At 49.5% G+C, this 14,312-nt stretch overlaps 1 protein-coding gene across 3 annotated transcripts in view; it reads right to left on the reverse strand.

The window, feature by feature from the left end:
- The window catches only part of DIPK2B (divergent protein kinase domain 2B), a 52,504-nt gene continuing 41,380 nt past the window's right edge, over positions 3,189-14,312 (reverse strand). Inside the window, exons 3-5 of one of the 3 annotated variants that reach the window (NM_176819.4) lie at positions 12,531-12,704; positions 8,726-9,014; positions 3,189-6,808 (exon numbers count right to left, since the gene is read on the reverse strand). In NM_176819.4, the coding sequence (NP_789789.2) occupies positions 6,468-6,808; positions 8,726-9,014; positions 12,531-12,704 (804 nt within the window). In that variant the 3' untranslated portion in view covers positions 3,189-6,467. The remainder of the gene's footprint in view (positions 6,809-8,725; positions 9,015-12,530; positions 12,705-14,312) is intronic. The other 2 variants (XM_006724559.1, XM_005272670.1) reach the window with 2 other exon arrangements.

Below are 14,312 nucleotides of genomic sequence, written 5' to 3' on the forward strand. Positions count from 1 at the left end.
TGCAGAATGTGCAGGTTTGTTACATAGGTATACATGTGCCGTGGTGGTTTGCTGCACCTAAGTTGCCTTTTTGAAGGGTCATTATATCTGTAAATGCCATGGCCCCTTCCTGTGTGTTGACCCTTCCACACAGCCCACGACCGTCTTTCAACAATGTCATAAAGAGAGGCAGACATGGGCGGGTGCTATGGCTCACATCTGTAATTCCAATACTTAGGGAGGCCAAGGCAAGAAGATTGCTTCAGCCAAAGAATTTGAGACCAGTCTGGGCAATAGAGTGAGACCCTGTTGCCTCTACAAAAAAATTTTAAAAAATTAGCCAGGCGTGGTGCTACCACTGCACTCCAGCCTGGACAAAGCCCTGTCTCAAAAAAAAAAAAAAAAAAAAAGAGTGTGGACAGGGCAGAGAGTATACTTGTGTGCATGTGAGCATGTGAGCTCATCTGTGCCAATATATGTGAGCAACAGGCCCCAAGGTGGGCAGAAAAGTCACATCATCATGAACTGGCAGTGAGGCTGTGGTTTTCAACAGGCCAAACTGCATTCCTCGTTTCTCTTCACGTACTGAGCATGGATGGACTTCTTCAGGCCCCCAACATTACCTGCTTAAAGAGGATCCCCTTCTGAGCCTGGCTGAGGGCTGGGCTGGGGAGCTAAGGTTAGTGGCTGCTCTGCTGCCATTCATGATCCACCCAGAATTTAGCTGAGGGAGGGAAGAAAAATGGCCCCAGTCAGACTGTCTAGCAGCCTGAGGCTTCCTGGTGGCTCCTCTGAGCGGAAGTAGAGGCTTGGGGTGGGGACAAGAGTCCCTCCCAAGATGCTGCTGCGCTTGCCTTGGCTGGGCCAGGAACCCTTTCTGCCGCGGGAGACCCTCTGCTCTTTCCCTACATTTGCCTTCAAATATCGACCTCCCGTGTGTGCCGGGCTCTTGAGGGACATTATGTTATTTACACAGGATAATGACTCAGAAAGGATAAATCTTTTTCTCCACGTTTTATGGATGGGTAAATGGAGGCTCAGAAAGACTAAGTAACCTGCCCAAAATTACACAGTAACCAGCAAAGTCATGATTTGATACTAGGTCTGTCTGATTCCAGAGCTCTAGATCTTTCCAAAAAAGACCACACATCTAACAAAGTATTTATTTTAACTCCAGAAGAAATGTTCAGGCTCATGGAATCACTTATAGGCAGAAGTCAGATGCTACAGGGGAGGACTGGGAAAGCAGGAGACCTAAAAATTGTCATTTCGTGCAAATCACTGAAATCACTTTCCTTGTTTGAAAAGATCTTGCCTGCAGGGCTGTGGTTTGGCTCTCCTGATGGCTGCAGCTGGTGAAGTCTGTTTTCAAAGGTCAGTTCCTTTGCCCCATGGTGGTTGTTATTTTTATTTAATTTTAATTTTTTTTTTTTTGAGATGAAGTCTCACTCTGTCGCCCAGGCTGGAGTGCAGTGGCGCAATCTCACCGTAGCCTCTGCCTCCCGGGTTCAAGCGATTCTCATGTCTCAGCCTCCTGAGTAGCTGGGATTACAGGCAGGTGCCACCACGCCTGGCTAATTTTTGTATTTTTAGTAGAGGCAGGGCTTCACCATGTTGGCCAGCCTGGTCATGAACTCCGGACCTCAGGTGATCCTCCTGCCTCAGCCTCCCAAAATGCTGGGATTACAGGCGTGAGCCACCATGCCCGGCCTAAATATTTTATATATTGCTGCTAGTCCCACACCTACTCCCCTGGGATGTGGAGGTCAAATGAGACCCCAGCAAATGCTGAGAACACTCTATGCCAAGAGTAGGGAGAATTAGTATTTACAGGCACCCAGGGTCAGCTTTGTGGACCTGCAACCAATGCAATCACAGGCGGCTTGAGCTTGGTTTAATGTTCTGCTGTCTTGTCTTGCGATTCTTAATAATTGTTGGACAAGGGACCTCACGCTTTCATTTTGCACCAGGTGCCACAAATTACGTAGCCTGTCCTGCAGGCTTAAAGACAATGGCTGACATAATTCAGAAAAATACCCTAACGCCTCGAATCAAATTCCAGGGGACTGAGAATACACAACACATAATTTCGTTCTACCTGAAGTCACTGGAGTGTTGATTCTCCTGTCTCCTGGCTATTGAAGGGAAGGCACAGTTCCTGAGGAAGTGGTTCTATCCCATGTAAGGCCAGTACGGTGTATGAAGTACTCCAAGTGAAAACGGCTAAAGAACTCAATCATTATCCTCAGCAAGAAATTTCCCAGCATCTGCTCTGGTTGCTATGGGGAACACTTGAGGCCAGGAGTTTGAGACCAGCCTGGCCAACATGTTGAAACCCCATCTCTACTTAAAACAAAAAACACAAAAACAAAAATTAGCCGGGAGTGGTGGCACATACCTGTAACCCCAGCTACTCAGGAGGCTGAGGCATGAGAATCGCTTGAACCTAGGAGGCAGAGGCTACTATGAGCCGAGATCGTGCCACTGCACTCCAGCCTTAGCAACAGAGTGAGACCCTGTCTCACAAAAAAAAAAAAAAAAAAGAAGAAGAAAGAAAAAGAGAAAAGAAAGAAAGAAAGAAAAAAAGAATGCAGAGGAAGCAGGATGGGCAGAGGGACATTAAACTGTGAGGCAGGCTCATGAGTCTTGATCAGCTGGGTGGGGAGTTCTGGAAGGAGGATTGCCTATTAGAGTTGTTGCTCAATGGGCCAAAATTGCGGGGCCTTCACACCTCTGCATGCCTAGTCACTGGGTCTAGATATGCCCTAGGAAGGGTGTGACCTCGAGTGAAGGTGGCTGAGGCAGAACCCGAAGGACCTGATGGCTTAATGCTGTGTGCCAACCATGCCATGCTGGGAAGAGCATTGTTTCTTGAAGGGAGAGCTGGGTGGCTCAGCTCTGTGTCCACCACAGGGTGGGTGGGGGAGGGTTAGCAGGTGGCTGGCGGGAGGCAGGAAAATGTTCCCTGAAGGCAGCTGAGTGGGGCCTGTGGTCTTCAGGCATGTTGACAAGAACATCTGCTCTGTCGTGAAGGTGTATGAGAAAAGGACTCTGTGATCTCCTGAACCTAGGAAAAGCCACTAGCTGGGGAACTATTTCTAGGCCACTCCTAAGCATATGTAGGGCCTGCCTGACATCTGCCCTGCTCCTTAGCACTCAGCTTGTATTAGCCCATTTTGTATTATTATAAAGAAATACTTGAGGCTGGGTAATTGATAAAGAAAAGAGCTTTATTTTGGTTTATGGTTCTGCAGGTGGTACAGGAAGTGTGGGGCTGGCATCTGCTTCTGGTAAGGGCTTCAGGAAGCTTCCAATCATGGTGGAAGGCGAAGGGGGAGCAGGTGTGTCACATGGTGAGAGCGGGAGTGAGAGGGAGAGTTGGGGGAGGGACGTGCCACACTCTTTTAAACAACCACATCTTGAGTGAGCTCAGCGAGAACTCACTCATCACTTCCAGGAGGGCACCAAGTCATTCATGAGGCAACTTCCCCCATCACCCAATCACCTCCCATCAGGCCCCACCTCCAATGCTGGGGATCACATTTCAACATGAGATTTGGAGGGGACAAACATCCAAACCATATCACAGCTTACACTGTGGATGTGAACACAGCTGTACACATACACAAAATTTTATTGTAATTTATACTAAAAACCAATCTCCCTACAGCTCCTCGGGGGACAGCTCGCCGGTTTTCTCATTTGCTCCGTTCTGGGACTCGGACAAACGGGGCACAAGGCCTCTTTCTGCTGATACAGGTGGGTCCCAAGTCTGCATTTCCTGTCTGGACTCAGCATCACCAAGGGTTACATGATAGTCTTGAAGGAATGTTGCTCAGAATTTCAGGCGACTGGTCTGGAGGAGAGAAGGGGGCAAGTGCTTACCTTGAACCCGTGCAGGTGGACAGATGTGTGGTGGAGGCATTTGAGGGTTACCTCAGACCACATGCTGACCCACGCAGGGCCAAAGTCGCTCATTGTGTGGAGGCATTTTGCGGTGGAAACACACCTGGATGCAGGGAGAAGGGCTGGGGCCTGGCTCATGCATCAGAGGGTCTCTCTGGTAAGCCTTCTTCCTCCGTGGGACTCTGGAGGGTCTGGAGGCTGTGGCCTCTCTCCTGGTCTCTGGTCAGGTGGCCAGCTGGGAGGACAGCTGCAGTCAGGCCAGCAGGAGAGGGACTGTGACTGTGCAGGTGAGAAGGGTGGTCAGTCTTCACCCTCAAGACCAACTCAGAAGGCAGCCATTTCAAAGCGTCTCAGGCAGCCCAAGCTTGCTGGCCAGTCCACAAGCTTGGCCAGTCATCTTCACTGTCATGGTTGCCCTGGGGCAATGCCCGTAGCAGTCAAGAGACAAACCCAAAAGGGAACTAGGTACTCCACAAAATAAGGCTTTTCTGGGGTCCATTTTTGAATGGGAGTGAAGGAACCAGAATTGGGTAGCACAGGTGAAAGTCAGAGGCTGAAGGGGAGGGCAATAGGAGCCTCCTAATAGCAATGGGGCTCCTCTGATGGCTGCCATTGCTTTGAGGTCACCCTGACAGTCTTGCTGAACCTTTCTTCGATTTTGAGCTTAGCAAGCTCCTACTGGACCTTCTCTCCTTCACTGGGGCTCAGCTTGCAGGGGTTCTAGAAATATCTCCACAGATCGCTCTTCCTCCCTGGGCCTCAGTTTCCTCATCTGCACAGTGAGGCCTATTAAGCCAGGTGTTCTGACTTTATTTTTATTTATTTATTTTGAGACGGAGTCTCGCTGTGTCATCCAGGCTGGAGTACAGTGGCGTGATCTTGGCTGACTGCAAACTCTGCCTCCTGGGTTCAAGTGATTCTCCTGCCTCAGCCTCCTGAGTAGCTGGGATTACAGGTGCCCGCCACCACACCTGGCTAATTTTTGTATTTTTAGTAAGGATGGGGTTTCACCATGTTGGCCAGGCTGGTCTTGAACTACTGATGTCAAGTGATCCACCCACCTCAGCCTCCCAAAGTGCTGGGATTACAGGCGTGAGCCACCGGGCCTGGCCTGTTCTGACTTTAAAGGTAGGGATTCAGAGGCAGAAAAGAGGAGGTAGACTGAGAGGTTCCTGGGGTTAAAGGCTGGCAGGGAAGCTGGGCAAATGTACAGAAGAGCCCCCTGCTTATGTTTCAGGGGCCAGGGCAAGAGTGTACATGGAAGCCTACATACCATGTGGCTAAATATTTAAAAAGCAAACTAACAAACTGTTGAATAAAGTATGTTCTATTGGTTGACCTTGAAAAAAGTATTTTTCTGATGAGTGACCTGTAAGGCCAAGTTTGAATGAAAATTCCTAGACTCCTTAGAGTCCCAACTCGGAGCATGCGGTGTGGAGAGAGCTGGTCCAGGGCCTCAGCTGTGGCTACAACAAGAATGTTCTCCCACTCAAGATCTCCTGCTCTAGGGAGCGGGGCTGACCAGGGACCCCTGCTGCTGTGCTCTGAAATCTATCTTTGCTGTTTCCGCCAACCACTGAGTGCAGCAGGGATGCTAACGGGGTCTATTTGTGGGAGACACGGGGCTCTTCTGATGGCTGCCTTTGTCTTGAGGACACCCTGACAGCCTTGCTGAACCTTTCTTTGATTTTGAGCTTAGCAAGCTCCTGCCAGACATTCTCTCCTTCACCGGGGCTCAGCTTGCAGCTCGACTTACTGGTCCTCCCAATCTTCTCCGGCTCCCTCCTTCTTTCCTTACACACAATCATTTCCCCTAACAAATCTTTGTTCCATTCACTCTATCTTGACACATATTCTTGGAAGACTTGGGCTAACACATTGGTCCCCCGCCGGCCCCCCTTTATCTTCTTACCCCTGGCTTCTTCCCACACCACGAGAAGCCCCATGCGCAGGTGTATGGAGCCTCAGGTACCAGGCTCTAGGTGGTGGCAGGCATGTCCCCTTGGCCTGCAGTCTCCTCATCCCGCGATGGTGTGGGGAGTGACGCAGGGCCATAGGGAGCAGGAAGGGGGCCCCTCTTGTCCGAGTCTAAAGTGGTAGTGGCAGGGAGCCTGTCCTTCCCCTGCCTTCCCTCCACTCCAGCCTCCTGACCTGAGCAGCTCTTTCTCATGCTCCCCGCCTCTGTGCTTTTCCAGAACACACTTTGTAACCACCTGGGATGGAGGTGGTGAGCATGTGTCCCAAGACCCATGCTTGGGATATATGCTCAGTGGTGGCTCCATCTGTGTCTTCTTTCACCCTCAGGAGAGTCTGGTGGAGAACAGAGGAAACTGAGGCTCAAAGACATTGAGTGAGCGTCCACACCCAGGTCTTCTGATGCCCACCGCGGGCTTTGCCAGGACGTCCCAGCCAGCAGAGACAGCCACGTGGTATCTCACAACTCCCCTCTCAGTCCCTAAGAAATGAGTGTGCCTTTCTTCTCATCTTTAAAAAAGAGCTGCTTCTTTCTACCTTGCAGCAACCCGACTGGGAGAATGGAGAGCCAAGCGTGTTGTCCCCAAGGCCAGCTAGACACCAGCCCTTCAGAACTTATCGTTATATTTGCAATCTGGGTAACGATAGGCAAATCTGGAGTCACACGTTCTCAGGGGCCTCAAGATGTCTTTCAGCTGGCTGGCGGCCCCAAGGACTTCTGGGTCTGGGCGGATGCTGTCCCCACACTGAACAAGGATGGAGTCTATGTCGTCTTGCACTGGGGAGGGGAACCTCCCCTGGAGAAGTCGAGGCAGCAACTTCTGACACACCAGCACCAGGCTCTGCTTCTCAGAGATGCTTTCGCAGGAGGGCAGCTGGGCCTGGCAGCCGGAAACCAGGCAGCTAAAAATGTCTTTATTCTCTCCTGCCCTGTTGGCTTCTTGGCTGCCTAGAAAAGAAATGGGAAGTATTACACACCCTGCCACCAGTGCTCCTTGAGGGAGGGCACCACTAATTAGAATTCCTGGGTGGGGCCGGGCGCGGTGGCTCATGCCTGTAATCCCAGCACTTTGGGAGGCTGAGGCGGGCAGATCACTTGAGGTCAGGAGTCCGAGGCCAGCCTGGCCAATATGGTGAAACCCCGTCTCTACTAAAAATACAAAAATTAGCTGGGTGTGGTGGCATGCATCTGTAGTCCCAGCTACTCAGGAGGCTGAGGCTGGAGAATCGCTTGAACCTGGGAGGCGGAGGTTGCAGGGAGCCAAGATTGCACCACTGCACTCCAGCCTGGGTGACAGAGCGAAAAGCCATCTCAAAAAAAAAAAATTACTGGGTGAACTAGTATAGTCTCCTAGCATTTCCCTGTCACCAGGAGATTTAGGACTCAGGGACACAGTGGCTCCTTTTGAGAACCACGTGGAAAGAATCCACTCTGCTACAATAGAGTGAGGCCTGGGCATGGAAAACCCACTTACCCCTACCAGAAGTTAGGCTGATAATTGTAGAGATCACATTCATATTGTTAGACTCTCATTATTACTAAATTAGTGAACTCAGGAAATTATTGGGACTGGTTTCATTTGCGCCTTTAAAATGCAAAGTGAGGGCCGGACATGGCAGCTCACACCTGTAATCCCAGCCCTTTGGGAGGCTGAGATGGGTGGATCACCTGAGGTCAGGAGTTCGAGACCAGCCTGGCCAACATGGCGAAACCCCGTCTCTACTAAAAATACAAAAATTAGCTGGGTGTGGTGACAGTCGTCTGTAATTCCAGCTACTCAGGGGGCTGAGGCAGGAGAATCGCTTGAACCCGGGAGGCAGAGGTTGCAGTGAGCCAAGAATGTACCACTGCACTCCAGCCTGGGCGACAGAGTGAGACTCTGTCTCAAAAACAAAAATAAAAATGAAAAACAAAATAAAATGCAAAGTTAGGAGAAAAAACAAGTAATCCCAAATATGTATTCAATGAGTTGTAGTGTGACTGACGTTTCATGATTTACATATCCGGAATATTCTGGAATCAGCCTCATTTCTTCTAATTTGATTCTTTTTAATAAAGGCAAATCAGGAAATAAATGTGTGGTTTAATTTGTCTATTTTTGTAGGCTTTTGCATACAAACAAAATCAGAAATTAGAAAATAAAATCCTTTGTCCTCTTATTGGGCTCAGAAAATTTGGTTAGCATTAGAGATTAGGGTGTTCGAAGGGTTCTAGATCACTGAATGAAACTTTACACATAGTGAGAAACACGATTCAGTCATCCACCTCATTTGGTTCCATGCTTTTTTACTTTGAAAACTTTATAAAGAGCAATTGTGCCAAAATGGATTGCAAAATATACCAGTGAATCAGCCTGATATTTAAGTTTTAGATAAAGGGTAAAAGCATCTGATGAGAAAGACTCTGAGTGGGAGATGGACCCAAAAGTTTTGTGTGTGTGTGTGTGTGTGTGTGTGTGTGTGTGTGTGTGTGTGTGTGACAGAGAGAGAGGAGAGAGAGAGAGAGTGAGAAAGAGAGAGAGAGAGAGAGAAAGGAGGGTCAAGGCAGGTCCCTGGGCCACATAGACCCAATTGCACAACAGCACTGCCCTGGGAGGGTGCAGCTGGGGCTGTGCCACTATGCACAATGCTTCTCATGGACAAGGCCAAATCCACTTCCCCTTTGGAGATGGAGTTAGAGTAGAAATTCAAATAGGAGTGAGGGACATTTTACATGAAATCTAATATTCTCCGAACTTGAGTGGCTCTCACTATGACATGCAGAGATGGGAAAGGCCCAATAGCATGACCCCTGGCCACCCCTCCCTAGCTCCTGTCACCCTGACTTTCCCTCTGACAGCTGCTCAGCCAGGCCCATGCTGAGTACCTTCCTGCTTGTCGATGACGCCCACTGCACTGGCATCCCGGATGAACAGATGCCCGTTGTTAAAGACGCCGAACATGCCTGCATCAATGTGGGTGAAGTAGAAGAAATAGTTCAAATCGTTGCTCCTCAAAGACTCCAGGACACCCAGGAGCTGGTAGGCAAGGTCGGCTGCCTGATCTGGGGGTGCATCATAGAATTCCTGCAGCGGTCTGGTGCTGGTGCTGACGAGGAATCTGCCACAGGAGCCCAGGTACTTGGGCAGCGGCCATCCCTCAGCCCCAGGGAAGATCTGCCAAGCCAGAAGGAGGAGGATTAGAGAGAAAAATCTGGTGACAGCTCTCTATCTGTCTATTATCTCTATCTATCTCCCTATCTATCTATCTATCTATCTATCTATCTATCTATCTATCTGTCTATCTATATCAATCATCTATATCTATCATCTATCTCTATCATCTATCTATCTCTATCTACCTATATCTATCTATCATCTATCATCTCTCTATCTCTGTCCCTCACTGCAAGTACAGAAAGATCAGCATCTCAAAACACATCAGTGAAGTGTCTCTCAACCTTTTTTATACCTCTTGGAACATGGCAATGCCCCATCCCTCCCCTTCCCCATTTTTTAATTATATTACTGATGGGAAGATTCAGAAAAGGAGGCTGCTCTCATTTCTTTGTAGTAGAGTGCATTTCAACAGAGTTCCTCCAAGCAGGGTATGAGAATGTTAATGGACTTGCCACAATTTTAGATAGCATCAGGGATTCAGGGAAATATGTTTAAGAGTTGCATAGTTGAAACAAATAGGATTATTTGAGATTTCACAGATATCACTGCTTAGGAAGAGGCTATGGGAAAAATAATAGAGGATCAACTTAAGTCTGATTTAAAGCAAAACTTTTTTTTTTTTTTAAGAGACAAGGTTTTGCTCTGCTGCCCAAGCTGGAGTGCAGTGGCATGATCAGAGTTCACTGCAGCCTCAAACTCCTATGCTCAAGCAATTCTCTCACCTCAGTCTCCTGAGTAGCTAGGACTTCAGGCACGTGCCACCATGCCTGGCTACTAAAGAAAAATATTTTAAAAAATAACAGTGGCTGGGTACAGTGGCTCACGCCTGTAATCCCAGCACTTTGGGAGGCCGACGCAGGTGGATCACTTGAGGACAGCAGTTTGAAGCCAGCCTGGCCAACATGGCATAACCTTGTCTCTACTAAAAGTGCAAAGATCGGCCAGGAGTGATGGCACATGTCTGTAATCCCAGCACTTTGGGAGGCCGACGCAGGTGGATCACTTGAGGACAGCAGTTTGAAGCCAGCCTGGCCAACATGGCATAGCCTTGTCTCTACTAAAAGTGCAAAGATCAGCCAGGAGTGATGGCGCATGTCTGTAATCCCAGCTACTCTGGAGGCTGAGGCAGGAGAATCACTTGAACCCAGGTGGTGGAGGCTGCAGTGAGCCGAGATCGTGCCACTGCATTCCAGCCTGGGCGACAGAGCGTGACTCTGTCTCAAAAAAAAAATATATATATATATATATATTTATATAAAAATAAAACAGTACAGGTACCTTGTTCTCGGACAGGGCAAAAATCATAAGGGTGGTCTGTGGGTGACTGAAGTTTTGGGAACTACTGTACTGGCCTTAAGCCCCTCTTCTGCCAGCCGTGGGTGAATCTGTCTGGCTGGGGTAGCTATATACATCGTACAGATGTTCCCCAACTAACTGGAACCTTCCAGACAGCCTAAAACTGGCCTAGGGAAGCATGAAGCCCCGACCTGTCTCCTCTGCCTCCTTGTAAGAGGTCCAAACCTGTGGATTTGTAGATGAAAAGTGGGGAGGAATCCTGGCTAACCTTTTCTTGACTATTTCTTAAAGCAGCTATATCTAGAATGGCTATATCAGCACTTTATTGCTTGTTTTCCTTCTTTAAAAAATAAAGTCATCCCCATCTCTGATGGTTTTTTGCAGTCCTCTGCCCATTTTAACGCACATACTGCATTGTGAAGAACCCGTGCCCATTTGAGTTTCCCCTGCCTAAAGGGGACCTCTTTTTTTTTTTTTTTTTTTTTTTTAGACAGAGTCTTGCTCTCTTGCCCAGGCTGGAGTGCAGTGGTGTGATCTTGGCTCACTGCAACCTCCACCTCCCGGGTTCAAGCGATTCTCCTGCCTCAGCCTCCTGAGTAGCTGAGATTGCAGGTGCATCCCACTGTGCCTGGCTATTTTTTTTTTGTATTTTTTAGTAGAGACTGGGCTTCATCATGTTGGCCAGGCTGGTCTCGAACTCCTGACCTCAGGTGACCCGCCCACCTCAGCCTCCCAAAGTGTTGGGATTACAGGTGTGAGCCACAGCACCCGGCCCAGAGGGGACCTTTCTTACTGTGTACCGCGGAGGGAAGTCCTGGGCCTACTGTCGTTGTCTACAGGTGCGGCCACACAGCCATTCCCGGGTTCCATGACTTGCCCTTCCTGGGCAGAGCCCAGGGCTGAGTCCCAGCCCCATGCTCTCATCCCACGCCTCTCAAGAGCCAGGCCTAAAAGTAGCCAAGGTCTTTTCTGGGAGAAAAGATCTGTGAGAGTGCAGGACAACCCGCAATTCCTTTTCCTCTTCTAGTATTTCAAAGGCCAATGTCGCCAGGCAGGTTTTAGTGGGAAGAGTGTGGCCTTTGAGGGCAGGCAGATGGCTCTGCATTTGGGTTCTATTGCTGACGTTGGCTAAAAGTGACTTGGGCCAAGTCACTTCACATCTCAGAACTCCACTGAATCTCATCTGGAAAAGGGGACAATAATAATATTCTCAGGGGGTGGCTGTGAGCATTAAATGAGATAATGTCAAACCTTCAGCCAAATGCCTGGCACATAGCAGGTGCTCAGTGAATGAGAGCTGTTATTATGTATTCAATCATCATGCCTTTGGCCGGTGTTTATTAACTGTCTTTGCTGTGGCTTCTTCCTCCTCTACCTGCACCTTTTCCCCCTCCTATTCCTTCTCTTCTCCTCCTTCCTTTCCCTCTCCTCCTCTCCCGCCTTCCTTCCTCTTCCTTTTCTTAGTCCTCTTCTTCCTCCTTCTCCTCCTCACCTTTCTCTTCTTCCCTCTTTCTCACTCTACTCCCCCTCCTTTTCCAGCTCCTCTCTCCCAATTTCTAGTTCCCTTTGTGTCCTTTATGTGACCCCTGTGTCCTTACCCTTGAGGTCAGGGGTCAGTCGGAGTGATTGGGCTCCACATATTTTATGGGTGTTTGTTTCCATGATAAGTGTCTGTCTCTACCACTGGACTGGAAGCTGCATGAAGGCAGGAGACACCATACTTGTCTTGTTGACCAGTGTATCTCCAGGCCCTTAATGCATCTTCATTTATTTGACCATTCCCCTGTGTATGGACATTTAGGAGTTACTTCCTTTGTTTTCCTCTCCTTCCAAGCATAGATGCAAGGTACCTCTCTGGGTGGGTCATTCTTTGGCTATTTCTCCACTTCCTGAGCTCGGCCCCATCTGACTAATCTTTGAGGCACAGGTCAAAGTCGGCCTCCTTCACAAAGCCCTTCAGGGCCACTCAGGCAGTGAAGGTGGCTACTGTTCCCTCCTATCCCCATCCCGCTCCCAGCTCTGGGCTCCCACACCTGTTTCCTCTACAGCAGCCACAGCACTTTCACACTGCAGAAGCCAACACATGCCAGAAAGGTCCTAACACGGGCTAGTGGCCCAAGACATGCAGTAAAAGGAGGGAGAGAGCTCAATCCAGGGAGGCTTCTGGGAGTCCAAGATTGACCCCCAACCTAGAGGGCTTGCCAGGTCGCTGCATACCTGTAGGAGGATGGGGTGCGAGTTGACAGCCAGCGTGTAGAGCAGGCGCAGCTTGTCACGGTCGGTGAAGTGGTCCATGAAGATGCTGCCGGCGTCGGCCACCTCTGCATAGCGCCTGACCACGCGATCCAGGAGTCGCTGCGAAGGGCAGCGCAGGAGCGGGCTGGCCAGGCCCTACGCGCAGGTGGGAGAGAGGCGGGAGAAGAAGGGGGCGGGGCGCTAAGCTCTTGTGGGGGGTTAGCAGGAGGGGGAATGGGCAGATCCTGCTGTTGGGGGTGAGGGAGATCTTGAGGCTGGGGGGCCAGGTGGGGCGTGGGGAAAAGACCTGCAGGAGTGGGGATTGTGGGGTGGGAGGGGTTGGGTAGCTCTGCCCAGGCGGAGCAGGGGGCAGACCCCTGTGGCTGGGAAGAGGGGCCAGAGCACTTTTCGGGGGTGGGGTGGGAGGCCCCCTCCCCCACCACAGGCTACACTCGGGGCGGGGCCACAGAGACCCCGGGAACAGAGAAGGGAATGAGCTCTCTTGGGCAGCACGGCAGGAGGGCACTGGGCAGGCTGAGGGCAGGGCAGGGGAGAGGAAGAAGGGGAGAGAAGGCGGACTCCACCTTTCTCCACCCCTCAGCTGGCCATCTGAGTTTTGCATTACCTGTGTCTCTACCCACCATTGCACCCCCACCCTGCCCTTGGAAAGAAGGCTGATCCCAGGCTGAATTCATTCCCTGCCATGGGCTCTTTCGATTCCTTCTGCCATCTGACTTGGATATCACAACTATGAGGCTACACTTGAGCGTTTTTATATGCACCACTGTGTTCTTGGGATAAGACTTGGAGATACGAACCTAGGCTTTTTTTTTTCTCTCATGACTTTCTAGCCAGCCCCTACACCTTTTTCCCCATGCTGAACAAAGAAGAGCATGAACCTCCTGATAAAAAAAAATAGAGTTAAGAACAAGGCCCTGAGGCCAGCCTGCCAGAATTTTACCCGCTTCCACAACTACCAACTGTGTGACCTTGGACAAGTTACTTAGTCTCTCTGTACCTCCGGTTCCAGTTTGAAGTGAGGAGGACACTAAGAGATCATGAGGATCAAGTAAATTAATAGATGTTAATTCACATTTGGTACCTCATTGAATCCTCTCAGGCCCTCCACGAAGTAGGTGCTATTATGAACCTCATTGTGCAGCCAAGGAATTGGAATGCAGAGTGTAGGTAATGGTTGGAAAAATTGGATTCAGGATTTGAACCCAATGGGTTAGACTCTAATATCTGTGCCTTTTCCCCGTAATAGGCCCTGCCCTGCCCCCCTCTCCATAAACTACCCAGGTGGAGGCCATAGAAAATGATTTGAGGCTATGAGAAGGCCTCTGCTTCTGATCATCTTCTCCTACACAGCCTGAAATTCCACCATTAGAGATGATCATTGGGGAGCAGGGGGCGGGGGTGGGGATAAGTAATTTTTTCTCTTCTCCAAGAGCCAGTTCTTAAATGAAGGTATCTCTGGGAGAGATAGGACACTAATTGACCAGAGCAACAACAACAATAATACGTAATAATTATTGAGTGCTTACTACACAACAGGAGCTGCTCTAAGCCCTTCATAGGTAGTGTATTCTTTCATTTACTTCACAAGAACTTATTATTGCTCCACTTTTCAGATGGTAATACTGAGATGTAGAGAGATTAAGTCAGTTGCTCCAAGTCACATATACCTAGCATTAGAACCAAGACAGTACACCGGGTGAGAGGTAGGTAAGGATAGATAAAGGTAAATAAAGATAAGGGAGC

The sequence above is a fragment of the Homo sapiens genome, chromosome X (genome assembly GCF_000001405.40).
Source record: "Homo sapiens chromosome X, GRCh38.p14 Primary Assembly".
Classification (NCBI taxonomy): Eukaryota; Metazoa; Chordata; class Mammalia; order Primates; family Hominidae; genus Homo; species Homo sapiens.